The sequence below is a fragment of the Homo sapiens genome, chromosome 5, assembly GCF_000001405.40.
Source record: "Homo sapiens chromosome 5, GRCh38.p14 Primary Assembly".
In the NCBI taxonomy this organism is placed as follows: domain Eukaryota; kingdom Metazoa; phylum Chordata; class Mammalia; order Primates; family Hominidae; genus Homo; species Homo sapiens.
The window spans coordinates 1956716-1976872 of NC_000005.10; the positions used below are offsets into that span (position 1 = coordinate 1956716).

Sequence of the window (20157 nt, forward strand, 5' to 3'; positions counted from 1 at the left end):
GGTCATTTGGTGAGTGGATCTCTGTGGGGTGTGCACCGACATGGGGAGCTGCAGAGTCATTTGGTGCATGCACATTCAGGTTCACTTTTCTAAGGTGGTTATGAGAATTTATCTCTCACCGGTCGTGGGTTCTGGTCCCAGTTAATACCTCCCCAGTCCTCGATAGGGGAATCTTTTTTTGTTTGTGTTTTTCTTGAGCCTCGCTGGTGGGCATGCAGCAAGTCCTATTTGTATGTTTGGTTTTTTTTTAGCACACTCACAAAGACTAATGAGACTGCACACCTTTTCACCTATTTATTGGCCCTCTTGGGGAGCATCTTTTATTAAGAGCCTGCTCAGTCATTTGCCGGTTCTGCCACATGGGTGTCTATCTTTTTCTTATTGGTTCATAAAAGAATTTTGAAAATATAAGCTATATTGCTTTATATCTCGTTCTTGTTAGTTATATGTATGTAGAAAACACATTATCTGCGGCCTTTGCACTTTCTTAATGGTGTCCTTGGATGACAGCAAGCTCTTAAATTTCAATCTTTTTGTCAGTGGTTTAGTGCCTTTTGTGTTCTTGGTAAGTAATCTTTTCACAGTTCCCCAATAATAACACTTTTTTTCTTATGTTATTCTCTGGGAGACTTAATTATGTTTATTTTTACCTTTTACATGTAGGTCAACATTCCATCTGGAATTGGGTTTTTGCATGGTGTGAGATGCTCAGAGTCGATAATTTCTTTATGGATATCAAATTTACACAGCCCATCGGTTGAAAATGCCATTTCCCACAATACATATTATCTTTTTCATAAAATAAGGGTCCATATATGCATGAGTTTGGTTCTGGACACTCTATTCTGTTTTGCAGGTTTCTGTCGACCCTGCAGGAACACTCATGGTATACAAGACTGTAGCTTTGTAAAAACTCTTGATCGCTGGTAGTCTAAATTTTTTCCTCTTTCCTCATATTTGTCTTGGCTATATTTTGCCCTTTGCGTTTCCATATAAATTTTAGAAACAGCTTGTCAATTTCCACCCACTCACGCAAGTCCCACTGAGTTATTTATTAGGACCCTGTGGGATCTGTAGAATAATTTGGGGAGAACTGATCTTTTGTAACATTTGGGTTTTGACAACCCTGGAATGTTCCTACTGGCTCCCAGGCCATCCCTCCATGACTGTGTTCTGTGGGTAACCCTCAATCTGTCCTGATCAGCCCCATCATGCTGGTGTCCAGAGAAAAAGGTAGGCTCCCAAATTCAGAGATGGAGGGATTGGTGAGGCTGGCATTCAAGAATAGTGAGAGGTGGATATAGATGTTTTAGAGGACAAAGCTGCCTCAGTGCCTAGAAAAGGGCTTGAGACCCCCAATGACACAGATGAGTTTGGAGATCACACATGTGTGGTGTTGCACACCTTTGGGGCAGGGACCCCTCTGGCAGGGCTCAGCAGCCTCTGCAAAGGTGTCAAAGGCAGAGGGGCTCGTCGCCACCCAGCTCTCAGGGGCTGTGCACCCTCCTGGACCCCTTTCAACTGAGTTGATTGGAGTGGGGTGGTCATCAGGATTGCCGTGTCCTCCAAAATGTATGTGTTTGACTCCTCAGCCCCAGGGTGATGATGTGAGGTGGGGCCTTGGGAGTTGATTGGGTCTTGAGGGTGGGGCTTCATGATGGGGTTGCTGCCCTTGTGACGGAGGCTCCAATGGGCTCCCTGCCCTCTCTCCTCCTGGTAAGGACACAGCAAGCAGATTCCATCTGTGGACCAGGACGCAGGTCCTCATCAGACATCCAATCTGCTGGCAAGTTGGTCTTGAACTTCCAGCCTCCGGAACTGCGAATCGTTGTTGACAAGCTACATAGTCTGTGTATTCCATTATAGCAGCCCAAAGGGATGAGAAGATGGATATGGCCCGGAGATAATGCACACCTCTCGTGGGGACAGTGTCCCCATCCCCCTCCGGCTGCACTGAAGACCTGGAGCAATGGCTGCCATCCATGCGCGAGGACCCCTCGGAGGTTCCACCTGCACAGACCTTGCTAAGGGTGAGGTGATTACTAGAAGGAGCACCTTTTCTAGTTAAAATCTAACTAGATTCTCCTTGGCAACTTGTCTTACAGAAACAGGTATAGACTATCACCTTGCCCAGCTGGGCGCATCTTCGGAGGGAGGCCTGGGGCCACGTGCACCTAATGAAGGTGCCTGGGAGGGGGCTGGCTTTCCACTCAGCAAATGCTTTCTTACAGAAAGACTGTGGGGAGAGTCCGTTTTCTTAGAGCCGTATGAAGAAATCCTAAAAACCAACTGCCCAATCTCAACTCGTAACAGGGAACCTGGGGAGTGACATCAGAGATTCCCAATGTTTTCCTCCTCGTTGATCCCTGCGATGAAGGCACTTGCCCATGTGTATTCTGTAGTAGGAGTTTGCATTCTGAAACTGGTCTTTATTAAAGAACAAACACATTATTTACAAATTATAGTAAGAGAAATACCTACTTATTTGTAAAACTTGTTGCTCAGCATAACAACACAGGTGACTGCATGTCATCCACAGAGTTTCAGATGACTCTGTTATGCCGACCATGTCCTGGTGGATGTGCAGTTCTCTCATAGGCCTTTTACCTTATTGAAAATCACGCGTGCATCCCAGCTGTTGTTTAGGATCCTGAGCCCCCTGGGCTGGGAGCCACAGCACTGATGACCTCAGAAACAAGGTTGTTAGAGGCTGTGTTCTCTCCACACCCCTTTCTTGTGAGGCCCTGGGATGCTGCTTGGTCTGGAGGGGCATCCTTCCCAAAGCCCCACAGGAGGCTGCTGTCATCTGCATTCTACCGAGGGCATCCCCAGTCCCAGGTTTCATCCTGGTGTCCCGCTCATATGTTCCCTGTCACCCTGACGTGCTCAAATGAGTCAGTCGTCTTCATTCATAGATTCTACATTGCAAATTCTCCTACTCACTAAAATTTATTTGTAGCGTCAAAATCAGCATTCATGCACTGTCTTAGATTGTAGGTGTGCACAGAGCGATAAAAAATCGGAGTCGCCTGACATGCACAGCCCCGCCTGGGGCTGAACAAAGGCCCAGCTCTGCCTTCCCGTTACGGCTCATCCTGTAAACGGTGTCCTTTCTGTGGTCTGTTGAGTGCCGTATTTTTTGAATTTGTGTGCATTTTGCTGGTGATCTCACTGCTTAAGAGGGCGAGCACAGTGTGGAAGTGCTGTAGTGTTCCCACGTGCAAGGGGCTGTGGTGTGCCTCATGGAGAACACGTGTCTGAGAAGCTTCCCTCAAGCACGAGTGATGAATCAACACTGCATAGTGAACAAGGTGTCTAAACAGAAACACGAAGCACAAGGCTGTGTGCTGATCCATGGATGAAATGCTGTGACCAGAGCTGAGCCCTGCGTTTCCCCAGGAGCAGGGGTGTCCGTCGGCTCGCCGTCTGCAGACTCTAGTATGTAGCCACCCTGAGTGGTGGGGACCGACTGCACTTCTCAGCAGTACTCGGCTAAAAGCCTGCGTGCAACTTAGCTTTATGTGTCCTGAGTTTGGTCTTTGTTTCACAAAGGGAAGGGGGTTGGATGTTGGGTTTCCCAGGACATGGTGCCTGTTTAGAAGTGCCCCCAGGGCCTCAGAGCCAGCGGGAGGCATCCACCCAAATGCTGCTGACAAACCTTCCTGTGGCAGCTGCCACTCCACACGGAGGTGCAGGGAAGCCAGCTGCCAGGGCACACACACAAACACATGCATGTGCACACACACCATACTGTCACACACACCTCAACATGCACGTGCACACATGCCACACTCACACGTACACAAGCACACATACCTGAATATGCACATGCACGCACACATGCTCCACTCACGTGCACAAGCACACACAGCCACACCGGAACACACATGCCACACTCACAAGCACACACTGGAACACACATATGCACACACTCATGCCACACACAGATAAGCATACACACATCAGAACACACACACCACACCTACACACAAGCACACACACCCCAAAACACACATGCACACACACATGCTACACACACACAAGCACACACACACACAGGCACACATGCCACATAAACACATACTGGAACACATACATGTACACACACCACAGAAGCACACACACTGAAACACACACATGCACACACATGCACACACACACACACCAGAACACAGACATGCATACGCATGCCACACACACACACACCTGAACACACATGCCACACTCACACGTACACAAGTGCACACACACCAGAACACACACACCACACTCACACACAAGTGCACACACACACACCGGAACACACATATGGATACACACATGCCACGCACACCAGAACACAGGCACATGCTCCATGCTCACACACACATATACTGGAACACACACATGCACACACCACACACACAGGCACACTGAAACACACGCACACACACCAGAACACATGCACACACATGCCACACACACAAGCACACACAACGCACCTGATCACACACATGCACACACATGCTACACTCTCACACATGCAAACACATACACTTACCTGAACACACACATGCGCACACACACACCACACTCGCACACACCCTCCGGCATGTCCAGAGTATTTCTCTTCCCTGGTGGGAGAAGCTCTTGGTGCTTGGAGACTCCACTGAGAAGTGCTCACTGGAAGCAGAAGCAGCTGTGGGAGGCAGAGAAGGCGATGCGGGGGCTGGTGGGGCTGAGCTGCCCACTCTGGGCTGGCGTGGACGGTTCCAGAGTCACCAAAAGTGACACCTGGCCTCGAGGGGCCCTGGCAGATGACAGGAACCAAAAGCACCAATGTGGGTGATTCTTCAGGGGAGGAAGCTGAGAGCCTCCTTCAGGCCACAGCCCAGAGCCTCTGGGGACCTCCAGGTGGAGCCACGTCCTGGTCACTCGGATTCGGGACCTGGTCAGCAGCCTGCACCTCTTCAGCACCCTTGGGGCAGTGACGCCTCCTCTTGGCATGTGAGAGAGGCCAGTGTCCTGTCGTCCCTGTTGGTTAAACTTGTGGCTTCATCTTCCTTAGACAGACGCCAGCTCCATCCCCAAGGGTGAGCTTTTAAGGCTCATGGTAAGGCCCTGCCTTCCCTGTCCTCCCCACGACACCCCCTGGACCCGTGCCCATCCCTAGACCCATGACCCTCAGTAGGCAGCATTTTCAAGGCTGTCTCTTGGCCCTGGACGGCTGTCTGGTCCACCTTCATGCCCCATCACATCACTGAGGCTCAAATGCCCCCTCCTCACCAGGCCTCCACTGACGCCCTCTCCACAGAGCACCCCCTGCTGCACCTCTGCGTCCTGACCCAGGGCCGTTTCCCCCCATATTTGTCTCCATCCAAGGCAGCACCGTCTGTTTCCATGTTTGTTCTCTTCCTGTCTGTGTCCCCTACCAAGCACGAGCGGCATTAGGGCAGGGGCTGGTTTCTGGGGACTCGTGTCATGGTGGTCGCCACAGTGTTACGGTAGATGCTAGCGGAGGAAAGGGACGTTGAAGACTTCCCTTTGATTTGTTTCATGAAAAGTTTGTTTCCTAGAAGGCGCCCACCTGGCAGAGAGACACATCTGCTGTCGGCAGCGTTTTAGGGACTGAAATCTGTCATCCTGCCAGGCCACTAAAGGGTAACACAGGAAAACCAACGTGACGTTGTGGCGATTTGCTCAAACATGCAGCAGAATTGAGGTCATTTCTCTGCTCACTGCTAACGACTTCCCATCCCCTACAATTGATGCAGGCCCAGAGTGTGCGCCCAGCCGGCCACAGGTGCAACGGCGGCCCCCACACGGCGGTGTGCTCCTCCCCTCCCCTTTCCTCCTTCCCTCGCCTTTTCCTTTCCAGTGAAACATATTCCATCTTTCCTTAAAATAAAACATTTAATATTTTAGGACTATTACCTGGTAAATGGGGAATATCTTGGTTCTTGACAGGTGGATTTGTGTTAACAGGGGTGCAGGCTTACAGACAGAGGTAGTTTTTTCTAGTCTTTTCTGAGTGATGTGTTTTACACCTTTGTTTCGCAAGCCACTTTCTATGGGTGTACATTCTGTCCTAGAGGAGTGTAGGGCCTCCGGGCCAGTATGAAGGCGTGGCAGTCAGCCCTGTCTCATAGAAATACCATGGGAGCCACACGGATAAGTGGACGTGTTAGAACAGTCAAACCAAAAAAGTAAAACAAACAGGGAAATGGGTTATATGGAATTATATGAAACACTATGATTCATTTAACCCAGTGTATCTAAAATACAATCATTTCAAAATGTTGCTACGATCAACATGTAGTGAGATAGTTCACAGTCCTTTCTGTACTAATTCTTGGAGATCCGGAGTGTATTTCACACTTACTGCACATCTAAATTTGAACCGGCCACATTTTGGGTGCCCTATGGCCACACAAAGCCAGTGCTCACCACACCGGATGGCACAGCCCGAGGGCAGGGGTTGGTGAGCCGTGGCCCACAGCCTGCTCATGTCCGGTCCACAAGCTGAGAATGATGGTTAGAGTGACAAATGGTAGACAAAAGAAACAGGAGCATATGTGATAGAAGCCATAGGTTAGGACGTTCAGATTTATCACAGTGGTTTTCAGGTGAGTCAATCAATAAAGACATAAGTTTTTTTCTCAGTTTTAATAGCAGAAAACGCAGATAGAAGAACCCCTATAAACAGAAGCTGTATGGGGGCTTGAGAACCGTGAGTCTGGTCTGAGCCCAAGCAAGGCAGCCACCTGGTGAGGGAGGCACCCAGCAGCTGAGAGGCAGGTGGCCTCAGCCCACGTCACCTCATCCCATGTCACCCGGCCCCACGTCACCCAAAGCCCCTGCGTTCCCTGTCATGCGGCACTGCCTTCTCATCCACAGTGTGTCTCGTTGGCGAGGTTCAGGTGAGAGGTGTGCTTCACAGTTACTTGAAGTCAGGGTGATAAAGAGTACCTTCAGCTTGGTCCTGTCTGACTGTTATCCTCCGCCGCTGTAACAGGCTTTGGTTATGATCTTGGAAGAGTTGCGAGGTAAGGCTCATGGACACTGATCTTAAAGGGATTCCCATGGCGGGTGTGAACAGAGCCATTGTCTCACCTTTTATTTTATAGGATTGCCGGTTGTTACCACTTATGTCTTGGGTGACCTAATTTGCAAACATAGTATTAATTTCCTCTTAAAATCTTGCAGGCAGAATATAAAAATGTGTGCTCAGCCTGTGGCAGGAAGGCAGACCGGGCAGCCACGCCGTGCCCTGCCTCCTGCTGCCCTTGGCAGACCCGGCAGATTTCAGTCTGAAGGGCTTTCCCATGACAGGCCACAGGGAGCTACCCCAAGAACCGCAGACCTAGGGGGCCTCCTGACTCTGGTGTCCTGGGAGGCTGCTTCTGGCTCCTACTATCACTTCCAAATCCCACTGACTGACCCTGAAGGACCTGCAGATGCCCAGGAGCTCGGGGCACAGGCTGTTGCATCCCCTCTGTCAGCCACACGTGGATCCCCAGGAGGTCCTTGGCTTCTCCTGACCCTATTGGGGCATCAGAGCCCTGCGCATTCTGGTTCAGAACCCGAATGCCCGGAGGGCTTCCCTGCTGAGGCCGCAGCTGGACCTCACGGAGCTGGGGAAGACCTTGTTTGTGGGATGCATCTTCATGGTGCAGCCACAGGACCAGAATGCGTTCTGAGAAATGTGACTTTGTCATCGTGTGAACATTGCAGAGTGTTCCCTTACACAGACTGAGGTGGCACAGCCTTCTCCACACCTGGGCTGTACGGTGCCACCATCGCTCCCGGGGCACAGGTCTGTGCAGGAGGGGACTGTGCTGAAACTGCAGGCAGCTGTTACACAGTGGTGAGAGTATGGGTGTCTACACATCTGCACATGGGAAAGCCACGGTGAAAATATGGCATAAAAGTTAAAAGATGGTGCACTGTGGCCGGGCGCAGTGGCTCACGCCTGTAATCCCAGCACTTTGGGAGGCCGAGGCTGGCAGATCACAAGGCCAGGAGATCGAGACCATTCTGGCTAACACACTGGAACCCCATCTTTACTAAAAATACAAAAAAATTAGCCGGGTGTGGTGGCGAGCGCCTGTAGTCCCAGCTACTTGGGAGGCTGAGGCAGGAGAGTGGCATGAACCTGGGAGGCGGAGCTTGCAGTTTGCCGAGATCGCGCCGCTGCACTTCAGCCTGGGTGACAAAGCAAGACTCCATCTCAAAAAAAAAAAAAAAAAGATGGTGCACCGCATAGGACACTGAGCATCCGTGGGGCTTGTGGGAGGCAGTGGCTCTGGGCGAGTCAGTGAGTGGGTGGAGCATGAAAGTGAAGGCCTAGGACATGGCTGCACAGCACCGGGGAGGCTTTAGGAGCACTGGACACTTAGGCTACACTGAATCTATTTACAACATCTTTCTTCAATAATAAATTAATCTTATCTTACTGTAACTTTTTTTTACTTTATAAACTTTTTATAACTTTTTGACTCTTGTAATAACACAGTTTAAAAGATGAGTGCATCGTACATTGGTACAAAAATATTTTTTAATTTATATCTTCATTCTATCAACTTTTCCTGTTTTTAAAACTTTTAATTTTTTGGTTTTACTTTTTAAACATTTTTCATTAAAACCTAAGGGACACACACCTTAGCCTAGGCCTACGCAGGGTCAGGACCATGCACGTCACTGTCTTCCCCCTCCCTCTCTGTCCCACTGGAAGGTCTTCAGGGGCAATGACAGGCATGGAGCCATCATCTCCTGGGATGATGCTGGCTTCTTCAGGACACCTCCTGAAGGACCTGCCTGCAGCTGTTTATAGTTAACTTTTAAAAATACAAGTAGAGGAAGTACACAAAACAATACAAAGTATAGTACAGTAAATGCATTAGCTAGTAACAGCCATTTATAATCATGTACGCTACCTAATTGTATGTGCTAGACTTTTACATGCCTGGAAGTGCAGTAGACTCATTGACACCAGCGTCGCCACAAACACATAAGGAGTGTGTCACACTGCAACGTGACCACGGGTCTGCGGCCAGGCTACAGGAGACTCTCAGCTCTGTTATAATCTTATGGGAGCAAAACCATATATATGGTCCACTGTTGACCAAAACGTTGTCATGCATGCATGATCATATTTATCGGTCTGCAAAAGTTAAAAATGATGACTTGGAAACACTGGTAATGGGGCATTTTGCTTCAGCAACATTTTCCCTGTTTGGGTGTCGGTGGCTCAGCCAGTGTTGAAGAAATCTGCAGTGAAGAAGAGGGTAGGTCGAATCTGCTGCAGAGGAGGTTGCATCCTGTGGGCCACAGCTGCCTGGTGATATCATTTTCACCAGCTGCTGCCTCCGCTGACAGAGAGCTGGGCAGGGGGATGGGGGAGCTGGTGACCCACCCAGATGCTCTCTCTTGCTGGGGTGCTCAGTCCCCGGGGCCAGGAGTGTCCTAATGACCGTGCGCTTGTCCACTTCCAGTGGAATTATGAAATCTGCTGGGCTGACAGGTGCTGCTGGGACTGGGGGGTGTGGGTCGAGCACCCCTGCACACACATCCAGGGACTGGTTGGTGCAGACACACACTGGCTTGACTGTACACACCCCTTGACTGCACAAGGGCTGATTTTGTGGCGTTGTTCCTGCTCTAGACTGAAGCAGGGTTCTCAAAGCAAACCCGGCCAGTAGCACCGTCCCTCCTGGGAAGTTGTTGGAGACGCAAATTCTCCAGCCTCATCCCTGACCTATAGATTTAGAGCTCTGGGGTATGGCCCAGCAGCATGTGTTTAACGAGCCCTGCAGGAGGTTCTGATGCAGCTCAAATTGGGGCACACAGCTCTGAGTGTCCCTTGGTGTCTGGAGGGCTCTGGTCTGCAGCACAGACACCTCCTGGCTTAGCTTTGCCTCCACCCCGGCTTCTCTCCTTGCTCCCCTGAGAGCACCAGCTCCGGCCATCTCTTGGACAAGCACCTCGCCCCGGGAGTCTGCGTCTGGGAACCAAGCGGGCTTTCTGCACACCGCCTCAGGTATCTCCAAATTATATCCACAGCTACTTAATTCCCCTCCTTACCTCCCCAAGCCCATACCTCTACCTTTTAAGCCACGTGTCTCTTCTCCACATAGAGTCCAAGAGAGCCCAGGGAAAGGCAGGGCGAAGTGTACTGCGGGGGTTGTTAATGCATCTCCAATTTGACATTCATTTCTGGTAGACTCAGCCTGCAGGCTTGGCTCCTGCTGTGCTGTTTCCCCTTTTCTCCTTTACAAATTCAGTGAAGACAAAGGAAAAAAACAGAAGGAAATAAATCCATTAACTGAGAAATGTTTTCAGATACTATAAATAATAGTTTTATATTTAAAATAGGACCATACCAGGGCATTCAATTCTGTCTGGAGTTATGCTGGGAGATGGGCAGCTGCTGGCCACACACGGCCATCGGGTGCTCAAAGTGCACTGACTCAGACTGAAAATCTACACGCAGGTGTTGGAGACTTAGTGCAAGAACAGAACGTGGAGTTCCACAGAGTAGTTTACTCTTCATTGTGTGCTGAAATCATCACATCTTGGACATACTAAAATAATATGAACATTTCTTTCCCTTGTTTTGTTTGCTTTTGTTTTTGTTTTGAGGCAAGGTCTTGCTGGGTCACCCAGGCTGGAGCACAGTGGTGTGATCTTGGCTCGCTGCAGCCTCGACCTCCCAGGCTCAAGCCATCCTCCCACCTCAGTGTTCTGAGTAGCTGGGACCACAGGCATGCACCACCATGCTCTGCTAATTTTTGTATTTTTTTTTTTTTTTTGTAGAGATGGGGTCTCGCTATGTTGTCCAGGCTGGTTTCCAACTCCTGGCCTCAAGTGATCCTCCTGCCTTGGCCTCTCAAAGTGCTAGGATTATAGGTATGAGCCACCATGCCCATTCCGTTCCGTTTTTCTTGTGACTTTAGAAAATTTAAAAATACACATGAGGCTCATGCTCTGTGTCTTTTGACCAATGCCAGCTGAGAGGTACTAAGGTACTAAGAGCAGTGGCAGCTCAGCAGTGAAGGAAGTGGCTGTGCCAGGTCTGCTGTCCAAAGATGGCAAGCTGGCAGAGATTCAAATCCAAACCAAAAAAAGCCCAGATGGCCTTTCCTGAGCACGGGGCCCCAGGTGAGAAGGCAGATTCTGAAGCGGGGCTTCCCACTCATCTTGCTGAGCCTGCCTTTCCCGGTCTTTTGGTGCTGGCTGTGGTGCTGTGAGAGATGATGAAGTTTGTAAGTCAGGGCAGTTTTTAAACCCACAGACAAGAAGCACATCTGCAAAATGCAGCCTGGGAGCTGTCTACTCTGCCCGGAACAGTGGGGATCTCTGCAGGAGGAAATCGCATAGTTTCCCACGGGTGAATTGTCATGATGCTGTTGTGGCTGTTGGCAGGAAGCTTCCTCACATTTTCAGTTTAAATGCATTCCTCCTGATCTTTCCAAAAGACGGAGGCAGAACAGCTGGTTGCCATACTCCGCATAAAGTCCTTTGGGTAAATTGAAGGTAAATTTTATCCCTTAAATTCTGCTCCATGGGGTCACAGCCTTGGGTCCTTAAATAAAGAAAATTGTGGTGATATCCCCTTTATCATTTTTTATTGTGTCTATTTGATTCTTCTCTCTTTTTTTCTTTATTAGTCTTGCTAGCGGTCTATCAATTTTGTTGATCCTTTCAAAAAACCAGCTCCTGGATTCATTGATTTTTTGAAGGGTTTTTTGTGTCTCTATTTCCTTCAGTTCTGCTCTGATTTTAGTTATTTCTTGCCTTCTGCTAGCTTTTGAATGTGTTTGCTCTTGCTTTTCTAGTTCTTTTAATTGTGATGTTAGGGTGTCAATTTTGGATCTTTCCTGCTTTCTCTTGTAGGCATTTAGTGCTATAAATTTCCCTCTACACACAGAAATACAAACTACCATCAGAGAATACTACAAACACCTCTACGCAAATAAACTAGAAAATCTAGAAGAAATGGATACATTCCTCGACACATACACTCTCCCAAGACTAAACCAGGAAGAAGTTGAATCTCTGAATCGACCAATAACAGGCTCTGAAATTGTGGCAATAATCAATAGTTTACCAACCAAAAAGAGTCCAGGACCAGATGGATTCACAGCCGAATTCTACCAGAGGTACAAGGAGGAACTGGTACCATTCCTTCTGAAACTATTCCAATCAATAGAAAAAGAGGGAATCCTCCCTAACTCATTTTATGAGGCCAGCATCATTCTGATACCAAAGCCGGGCAGAGACACAACCAAAAAAGAGAATTTTAGACCAATATCCTTGATGAACATTGATGCAAAAATCCTCAATAAAATACTGGCAAACCGAATCCAGCAGCACATCAAAAAGCTTATCCACCATGATCAAGTGGGCTTCATCCCTGGGATGCAAGGCTGGTTCAATATACGCAAATCAATAAATGTAATCCAGCATATAAACAGAGCCAAAGACAAAAACCACATGATTATCTCAATAGATGCAGAAAAAGCCTTTGACAAAATTCAACAACCCTTCATGCTAAAAACTCTCAATAAATTAGGTATTGATGGGACGTATTTCAAAATAATAAGAGCTATCTATGACAAACCCACAGCCAATATCATACTGAATGGGCAAAAACTGGAAGCATTCCCTTTGAAAACCGGCACAAGACAGGGATGCCCTCTCTCACCGCTCCTATTCAACATAGTGTTGGAAGTTCTGGCCAGGGCAATCAGGCAGGAGAAGGAAATAAAGGGTATTCAATTAGGAAAAGAGGAAGTCAAATTGTCCCTGTTTGCAGACGACATGATTGTTTATCTAGAAAACCCCATTGTCTCAGCCCAAAATCTCCTTAAGCTGATAAGCAACTTCAGCAAAGTCTCAGGATACAAAATCAATGTACAAAAATCACAAGCATTCTTATACACCAACAACAGACAAACAGAGAGCCAAATCATGGGTGAACTCCCATTCACAATTGCTTCAAAGAGAATAAAATACCTAGGAATCCAACTTACAAGGGATGTGAAGGACCTCTTCAAGGAGAACTACAAACCACTGCTCAAGGAAATAAAAGAGGAGACAAACAAATGGAAGAACATTCCATGCTCATGGGTAGGAAGAATCAATATCGTGAAAATGGCCATACTGCCCAAGGTAATTTACAGATTCAATGCCATCCCCATCAAGCTACCAATGACTTTCTTCACAGAATTGGAAAAAACTACTTTAAAGTTCATATGGAACCAAAAAAGAGCCCGCATTGCCAAGTCAATCCTAAGCCAAAAGAACAAAGCTGGAGGCATCACACTACCTGACTTCAAACTATACTACAAGGCTACAGTAACCAAAACAGCATGGTACTGGTACCAAAACAGAGATATAGATCAATGGAACAGAACAGAGCCCTCAGAAATAATGCCGCATATCTACAACTATCTGATCTTTGACAAACCTGAGAAAAACAAGCAATGGGGAAAGGATTCCCTATTTAATAAATGGTGCTGGGAAAACTGGCTAGCCATATGTAGAAAGCTGAAACTGGATCCCTTCCTTACACCTTATACAAAAATCAATTCAAGATGGATTAAAGATTTAAACGTTAAACCTAAAACCATAAAAACCCTAGAAGAAAACCTAGGCATTACCATTCAGGACATAGGCGTGGGCAAGGACTTCATGTCTAAAACACCAAAAGCAATGGCAACAAAAGACAAAATTGACAAATGGGATCTAATTAAACTAAAGAGCTTCTGCACAGCAAAAGAAACTACCATCAGAGTGAACAGGCAACCTACAACATGGGAGAAAATTTTTGCAACCTACTCATCTGACAAAGGGCTAATATCCAGAATCTACAATGAACTCAAACAAATTTACAAGAAAAAAACAAACAACCCCATCAAAAAGTGGGCGAAGGACATGAACAGACACTTCTCAAAAGAAGACATTTATGCAGCCAAAAAACACATGAAGAAATGCTCATCATCACTGGCCATCAGAGAAATGCAAATCAAAACCACTATGAGATATCATCTCACACCATTTAGAATGGCAATCATTAAAAAGTCAGGAAACAACAGGTGCTGGAGAGGATGCGGAGAAATAGGAACACTTTTACACTGTTGGTGGGACTGTAAACTAGTTCAACCATTGTGGAAGTCAGTGTGGCGATTCCTCAGGGATCTAGAACTAGAAATACCATTTGACCCAGCCATCCCATTACTGGGTATATACCCAAATGAGTATAAATCATGCTGCTATAAAGACACATGCACACGTATGTTTATTGCGGCACTATTCACAATAGCAAAGACTTGGAACCAACCCAAATGTCCAACAATGATAGACTGGATTAAGAAAATGTGGCACATATACACCATGGAATACTATGCAGCCATAAAAAATGATGAGTTCATATCCTTTGTAGGGACATGGATGAAATTGGAAACCATCATTCTCAGTAAACTATCGCAAGAACAAAAAACCAAACACCGCATATTCTCACTCATAGGTGGGAATTGAACAATGAGATCACATGGACACAGGAAGGGGAATATCACACTCTGGGGACTGTGGTGGGGTCGGGGGAGGGGGGAGGGATAGCATTGGGAGATATACCTAATGCTAGATGACACATTAGTGGGTGCAGCGCACCAGCATGGCACATGTATACATATGTAACTAACCTGCACAATGTGCACATGTACCCTAAAACTTAGAGTATAATAAAAAAAAAAAAAAAAAAAAAAAAAAAAAAAATAAAGAAAATTGTGGGTTTTTTCCCCTATAAAAGCAAAACAATCCGGCAACTGCACCATGGATGAAGCATTTAGGCAAATGATGTGATTTGGATACCAAAGGGAATCTGAGGCCCGGCGCAGTGGCTTATGCCTGTAATCCCAGCACTTTGGAAGGTCAAGGCAGGCAGATCACTTGAGGTCAGCAGTTTGAGACCAGCCTGGCCAACATGGTGAAACCTTGTCTACTAAAAATACAAAAATTAGTCTGGTATGGTGGCATGCATCTGTAATCCCAGCTACTCAAGAGGCTGAGGCAGGAGAATCGCTTGAACCCAGGAGGTGGAGGTTGCAGTAAACCGAGATCGCACCACTGCACTCCAGCCTGGGTGACAGAGCAAAACTCCATCTCAAAAAATAAAACAAAACACAAAGGGAATCTGAAACCCCAATCTAATAAGGTTACATTATCTATAAGCTGAAACACTCAATGGAACAACATTTTGGAAGAGTTTTCTATTTTCGTGGTTCATGAAATCATTGTATCTACCATGAAATATTATACATCACAATATGACTAAAACTGAAGGGGGTTCAGATGACCACGAGGCAACTCAGGACCCTCTAGACAGCAATGGCATGGTGGGGGGACTTGCCAGGCTTCTCTGCCAGCCTTGCTGTCTGGGTCTACCTGCTCGGGGGCTCCGGGGGCCATGCTGACCACAGGGCGGCCTGGAAGCGGTGCTGATGCTAGCGGAGGAAGAAGAGGGTGTGCGATGGAGCTGGAGCTTGCGGGGAGCTGGAGCTTGCGGGGAGCTGGAGCTTGCGGGGAGCTGGAGCTTGTGGAGAGCTGGAGCTTGCGGGGAGCTGGAGCTTGCGGGGAGCTGGAGCTTGCGGGGAGCTGGAGCTTGCGGGGAGCTGGAGCTTGTGGAGAACTGGAGCTTGCGGGGAGCTGGAGCTTGTGGGGAGCTGGAGCTTGGGGGAGCTGGAACTTGCAGGGAGCTGGAGCTTGTGGAGAATGGGAGCTTGCGGGGAGCTGGAGCTTGAGGAGAACTGGAGCTTGCGGGGAGCTGGAGCTTGTGGGGAACTGGAGCTTGCGGGGAGCTGGAGCTTGCGGGGAGCTGGAGCTTGCAGGGAGCTGGAGCTTGCGGGGAACTGGAGCTTGTGGGGAGCTGGAGCTTGTGGTGCCGACCCAGGACCAGTTATGGACTGGGGGAACCCAGAGGACAAAAGAAGGACTCCTCATTCAAAAGTCGTTAAGAGTTTGAAGACGGCAATGACAGAGTATTAAACTAGGTGGGAGCCCCTTCTGTGCCTGGGGCCTCGTGTGACTGCAAAGCCCACGGGTCCTTGAAGGCAACCCTGGTCTTATGGCACAGACTGTGGGGACAGCTCCTAGGTTCTCCCCTTGGCCAAGCATGACATTGCCTTCAAGGGGCCAGGGAGAAGGGCAGTGATGATTGTTGACAGCTCAGGAAGGAGGGGCAGTGGCTAAACTATGTGGATCATATGTGCCCACCAAGGGGTCAGCCTTGAAAATTCTCTCTAGGCTTTATGACCATTGAGGGAGGAAATTGTTCTTGTTGTCAGAGAGGGTAAAATATATCCTGGGGGACAAAGATTTTTGTGTTTTTACTTTTTGTTCTCTGCTTCATTCCTTCCTTCTCCCTTCCTTCTTCTCTTCTTCCTTTCTCTTGCCCTCCCTCCCTCCTTCCTCCTTCCTTCCTGTCCTTCCTTTTCTGTCTTTCCTTCCATCCTCGTGCCTTTATTTTATTATTATTATTATTTTTAGCACAGTTAGCCAGCTGTGTGTAGGGGCATTAAAGGTCAGCCCCGTTAGTCCCATTGAAAGAACAAAATACCAAGGATACATTTATACCCTCTATCTGTTGCTGGACAGCTGATTGAATATTTTTCCCCCTCAAAACCATATTTCTTCAGGTGTGTTGATGGTTCTGTTTTTGTATTAAATAGAGCCAACCTCTTCCTACTTCTGTGTTCTTGCTCTAAGCTGGCTAGGGACGAGGTTACCAGCGACCCAATTCAATCAGCAGCTGCTGGCTTTAAGCGGGTCCAGGAGTTCACTGTGTGAATGCAGCCATTAGCTGGCTTTAGACTTGGAGAGATAATCGATATTTTTCTGGGCCGTCTTGGTCTCGCCTCTTTGGCGGAAGAAAGCAGCACCCACACAGTGTGTAACATCTGATCCCGGTCCAGCTCCCGCGGGCTGGGCTCTGCCCGTTGTGAGTGGCCGACAGCTCCGCCAGCGCCTGTTTCCATCTGCCGAGCCATCCTTTCTTCTGAATGTGAACTGTTTTCTTGGTTTCTTTCTGGCATCAGAAAGCAACAATGAGTGATTATCTGATGCAGCATCCCTGGGGCCCCAGGTGCTGGTGACTCATTCAAGTCTCCCTGCAAACCAATTCATTAAACCTGCTTCATCTGGGACGTGCTGAGAGTGGAGGTATATTTCAAAAGCGGTTTGGCAGCAACGCTGCAATTAAACAAGGAGGGAAGGAGAGCAGAGGCGGAGGAGGAAGGCGCGATTTAGTTGTGACTTGAACACCGTCTACACCAGCCAAAGAAGGCTGGTCCACACTGGCTTTCAGCTGAGGGGAGGGGCAGTGCCCAGATCATGTAATTTTTGAAATTATGTTTGTAATTAACTTCACGATATCTCCAGGGAATTCTGGAAAGACAGCAAGAAAAAACACTGCAGTATCTGTCCTATCAGATACTACAAAGCACCTAATGAGGTATCCTTAGGACATTAGAAAAAACACTCACTCAAAAAAGGTAGAATTCTTCCTTTGTATTCTTGGGGTGTTGGTTAGGGTGGCCGGGTTCTTCGTTAAGTTCATCGTTAAGCAAGCAGGGTCTTGCTGCCTGTGAGATGATTCACGGAGTTTTAGTTTTTACTCTTCAGGCACGGTCTGGCTTTCCTCCTAATAGTCTTTTACCAAGCAACCTCTTCAGGAACTTTTAAGTTCATGCAGATTTTTAGGAAAGTTAAATCTAAAATATTTTGTGATAACAATTTGAAGGTCAGAAAACATGGCTATCTCCCTACTTATCAGTTGTTTTAGTGAGCCTTGCCCCTTTGAATTATGTTCTAATATTTTAATACAATCTCCATAAAAACAATAAATTTACAAGAGAAGCAGAGTCCCAAGTCAAGCGCCCTCGACCACATTCAGAACTTTCCTGTCTCAGAGCTTGGCTATTTGCATCGCTGGATATAATCACGGGGCAAATTGTGCAAGAATGAGCAATGGAAGACGTCTGGCGATTGAGCGATTTCTCAGCCCCTGGATGTAGTGAGCAGAGTTGGAATAGATGGATGAGACCTGACATATCCAAGTAAAAGCAGCCAATGAAGCAGCTTAATGGGCTCCCCGGGGCGTCCTGGGAGTACACGCCACCTTCACCCATTAACGATTAGCTCCGCTCCAGACGTCTCAGCTGCCATGCAGCCCCACGCAAAGAAGCTCAGGAGACCAGCACCTGCCTTCTGACAGCTTACAGTCCAGTGGGCTTCAGTGAAAGGGGTGGGATCCAATCATCCCCATGAACTTGGGACCTGAAACTTCTTTGCTGGAAGCTTCTTTCTCAAAGAGCGCCAGGAAACCACGGTTTCAGGTACACACAGTCAGCATGCGCTGTAGCAATGTGCTTTGCAGCTGGAACTCCTATCAAGCATCCTAGGCAAGGCATGCACCCCAGCGCCAGAGAGAATCAGGAAGGGGAAGGTGCCCTGAACCTCAGACAAGAACCCCTTCCAGAAACCACCACCAAAGCCATCACTGTGTTTCCACCCTCAGACCTGTGTCTCTTTAGCTTCTTGGTAGAGGAAGAAGAGGAGCTGGGTGGGCAGGGCTCAGCAGCTTCTAAGTTTTTGCCATGTTTATGGACAAGTGGGCCAGTTCAGATTTGGATTAGATCACCTAAGAGAAGGCGTGGAAATTTGAAAGAGTTTTACAACAGGAAACTGGCAGAGAATGTCGTTGCTCTCTAATGCCGTGTTTCTCCTTTTCCTGGGCACACAGCCAAATTACAGCCCAAGGTCTCCTTGCACCTGTGAGTTCTGCCCAAGCCTGTGTTGGTGGGCGAGATGGAAGCTACCTCCAGCTTAAATAATCTGTTCTTTTTACTGTTCTAGTCCATGGTAGATTTGGATGCCATGCGTTAAAGATGGCAGTGCCACAGACCCAGGGGCCCCAAATGACTGCGTGGAGCCGAGACCCTCACCTCTTCCAACACAATGCTCTGGGAATGGGGAGAGAAGTAAAGTTTTGCATGTTAAATCATGAACGTTTTGTGTCTGTTTGTTCTAGCAGTTCACCTACTCTCACCAGTACAAAGGATATGCAAGCATGGGGAAAAGTTGTCTTATTTAAAGTGCACTTAATACTTTATTAGCAAAGACTAAATAAATACATTGAGCAAGTCTATCAGGTTATCAATCAGACAGTAAAACAGTGGAGGATCAAGATTGAAGGTTAAGTCGTCATAGAAAGAACATGCTTGCTGTGATAACATCTCCTTTTCTAGGTTCTTGAATGCAAGTTAATTTTCCCAAGGTCTCATTTTCACTCTGTGCCTCAAGACTTCACTCCTGGCCCATAGGTGGCTGTTGATTTTTTTTTCTTTGACAGCAGGGGGTGCTCTGGGAATATGCTCTTCAAACTAACTTCTGCCTCTAGTTATGGTTCTTTAAGAACCCAAAAGAAAGAAAAAGAATAATAACAATTTGTCAGTTCATAAATAAATGTCTTCTAACTTTGGAAACGCAGATTAGCACAGGCCCAGGGCCTGAAAGAAATTAAAGTGGTACTAAAATAAATTAGACAGTCGAAATGCAACCAGTAAAGAATAAAAGAAACGTGTGTCGTTCACGGAACCCACCATGTACTTCAAGCTGAGAGATCAACCACTATCCCCAAGATAAGCTTGAGAAGCACTGGCGGTCATTGAGTAGGGTGGTGACTTGTCTTTCTCCTCCGCTCCTGGCTGGGTGATAGAGTGAGGAGGAGATTGGGTGAATCGTGTCAGGATCCAGCACTACCCAATTCTTACCACTGCAATGGCCACGTTTCAAACAAGGGCTTGGTGGAGGGAGATTATGAGTGGTGGAGGTAAAATTGGTGTTGAAGACACATCTAAGAGCTGGATCGATTCCCTTGGATTTGTTTTCTGATTTCTGGTTTTCATTTGCAAAGTAGAGATGATCCCTCCTGGCCCCCATCTCAACAGGCTGCTCTGGGTCCTGTGAGAACACGTCTCATGCTTGGTATTTAAATCCCTAGCTTTTCTCAAGTGGCTGGGAATGGAATTTTATCCTAGAGATGTCCTGACCATTGGTTTGCCAACGCCCTACTAATTCACGTGTTCTCAGTTCCCTCAATGGCCTTCACATTTATTT

General features: G+C 47.5%; 1 protein-coding gene and 1 long non-coding RNA gene across 3 annotated transcripts in view, besides 3 other annotated features; both read left to right on the forward strand.

The window, feature by feature from the left end:
* LOC124901165 (keratin-associated protein 5-5-like) overlaps positions 1-2459 on the forward strand; it is a 31421-nt gene extending 28962 nt beyond the window's left edge. The window contains exons 4-5 of one of the 2 annotated variants that reach the window (XM_047418003.1): positions 1867-2111; positions 2232-2459. The gene's annotated coding sequence lies outside the window, so the exon portion shown is untranslated. Of the gene's footprint in view, positions 1-1866 lie in introns of both variants that reach the window. The other variant, XM_047418002.1, reaches the window with a different exon arrangement.
* The window catches only part of LOC105374618 (uncharacterized), a 188354-nt gene that overhangs the window by 25683 nt on the left and 142514 nt on the right, over positions 1-20157 (forward strand). The window lies entirely within an intron of this gene.
* Positions 4999-5737: an enhancer, noted in NCBI's record as "H3K27ac-H3K4me1 hESC enhancer chr5:1961828-1962566 (GRCh37/hg19 assembly coordinates)". NCBI's record gives its function as "activates a minimal SCP1, AML or CMV promoter by ChIP-STARR-seq in primed H9 embryonic stem cells {active_cell/tissue: H9 hESC(primed)}" and the evidence as "EXISTENCE:reporter gene assay evidence [ECO:0000049][PMID:30033119]".
* Positions 7390-7890: an enhancer, noted in NCBI's record as "H3K4me1 hESC enhancer chr5:1964219-1964719 (GRCh37/hg19 assembly coordinates)". NCBI's record gives its function as "activates a minimal SCP1, AML or CMV promoter by ChIP-STARR-seq in naive H9 embryonic stem cells {active_cell/tissue: H9 hESC(naive)}" and the evidence as "EXISTENCE:reporter gene assay evidence [ECO:0000049][PMID:30033119]".
* Positions 16964-17463: an enhancer, noted in NCBI's record as "H3K4me1 hESC enhancer chr5:1973793-1974292 (GRCh37/hg19 assembly coordinates)". NCBI's record gives its function as "activates a minimal SCP1, AML or CMV promoter by ChIP-STARR-seq in primed H9 embryonic stem cells {active_cell/tissue: H9 hESC(primed)}" and the evidence as "EXISTENCE:reporter gene assay evidence [ECO:0000049][PMID:30033119]".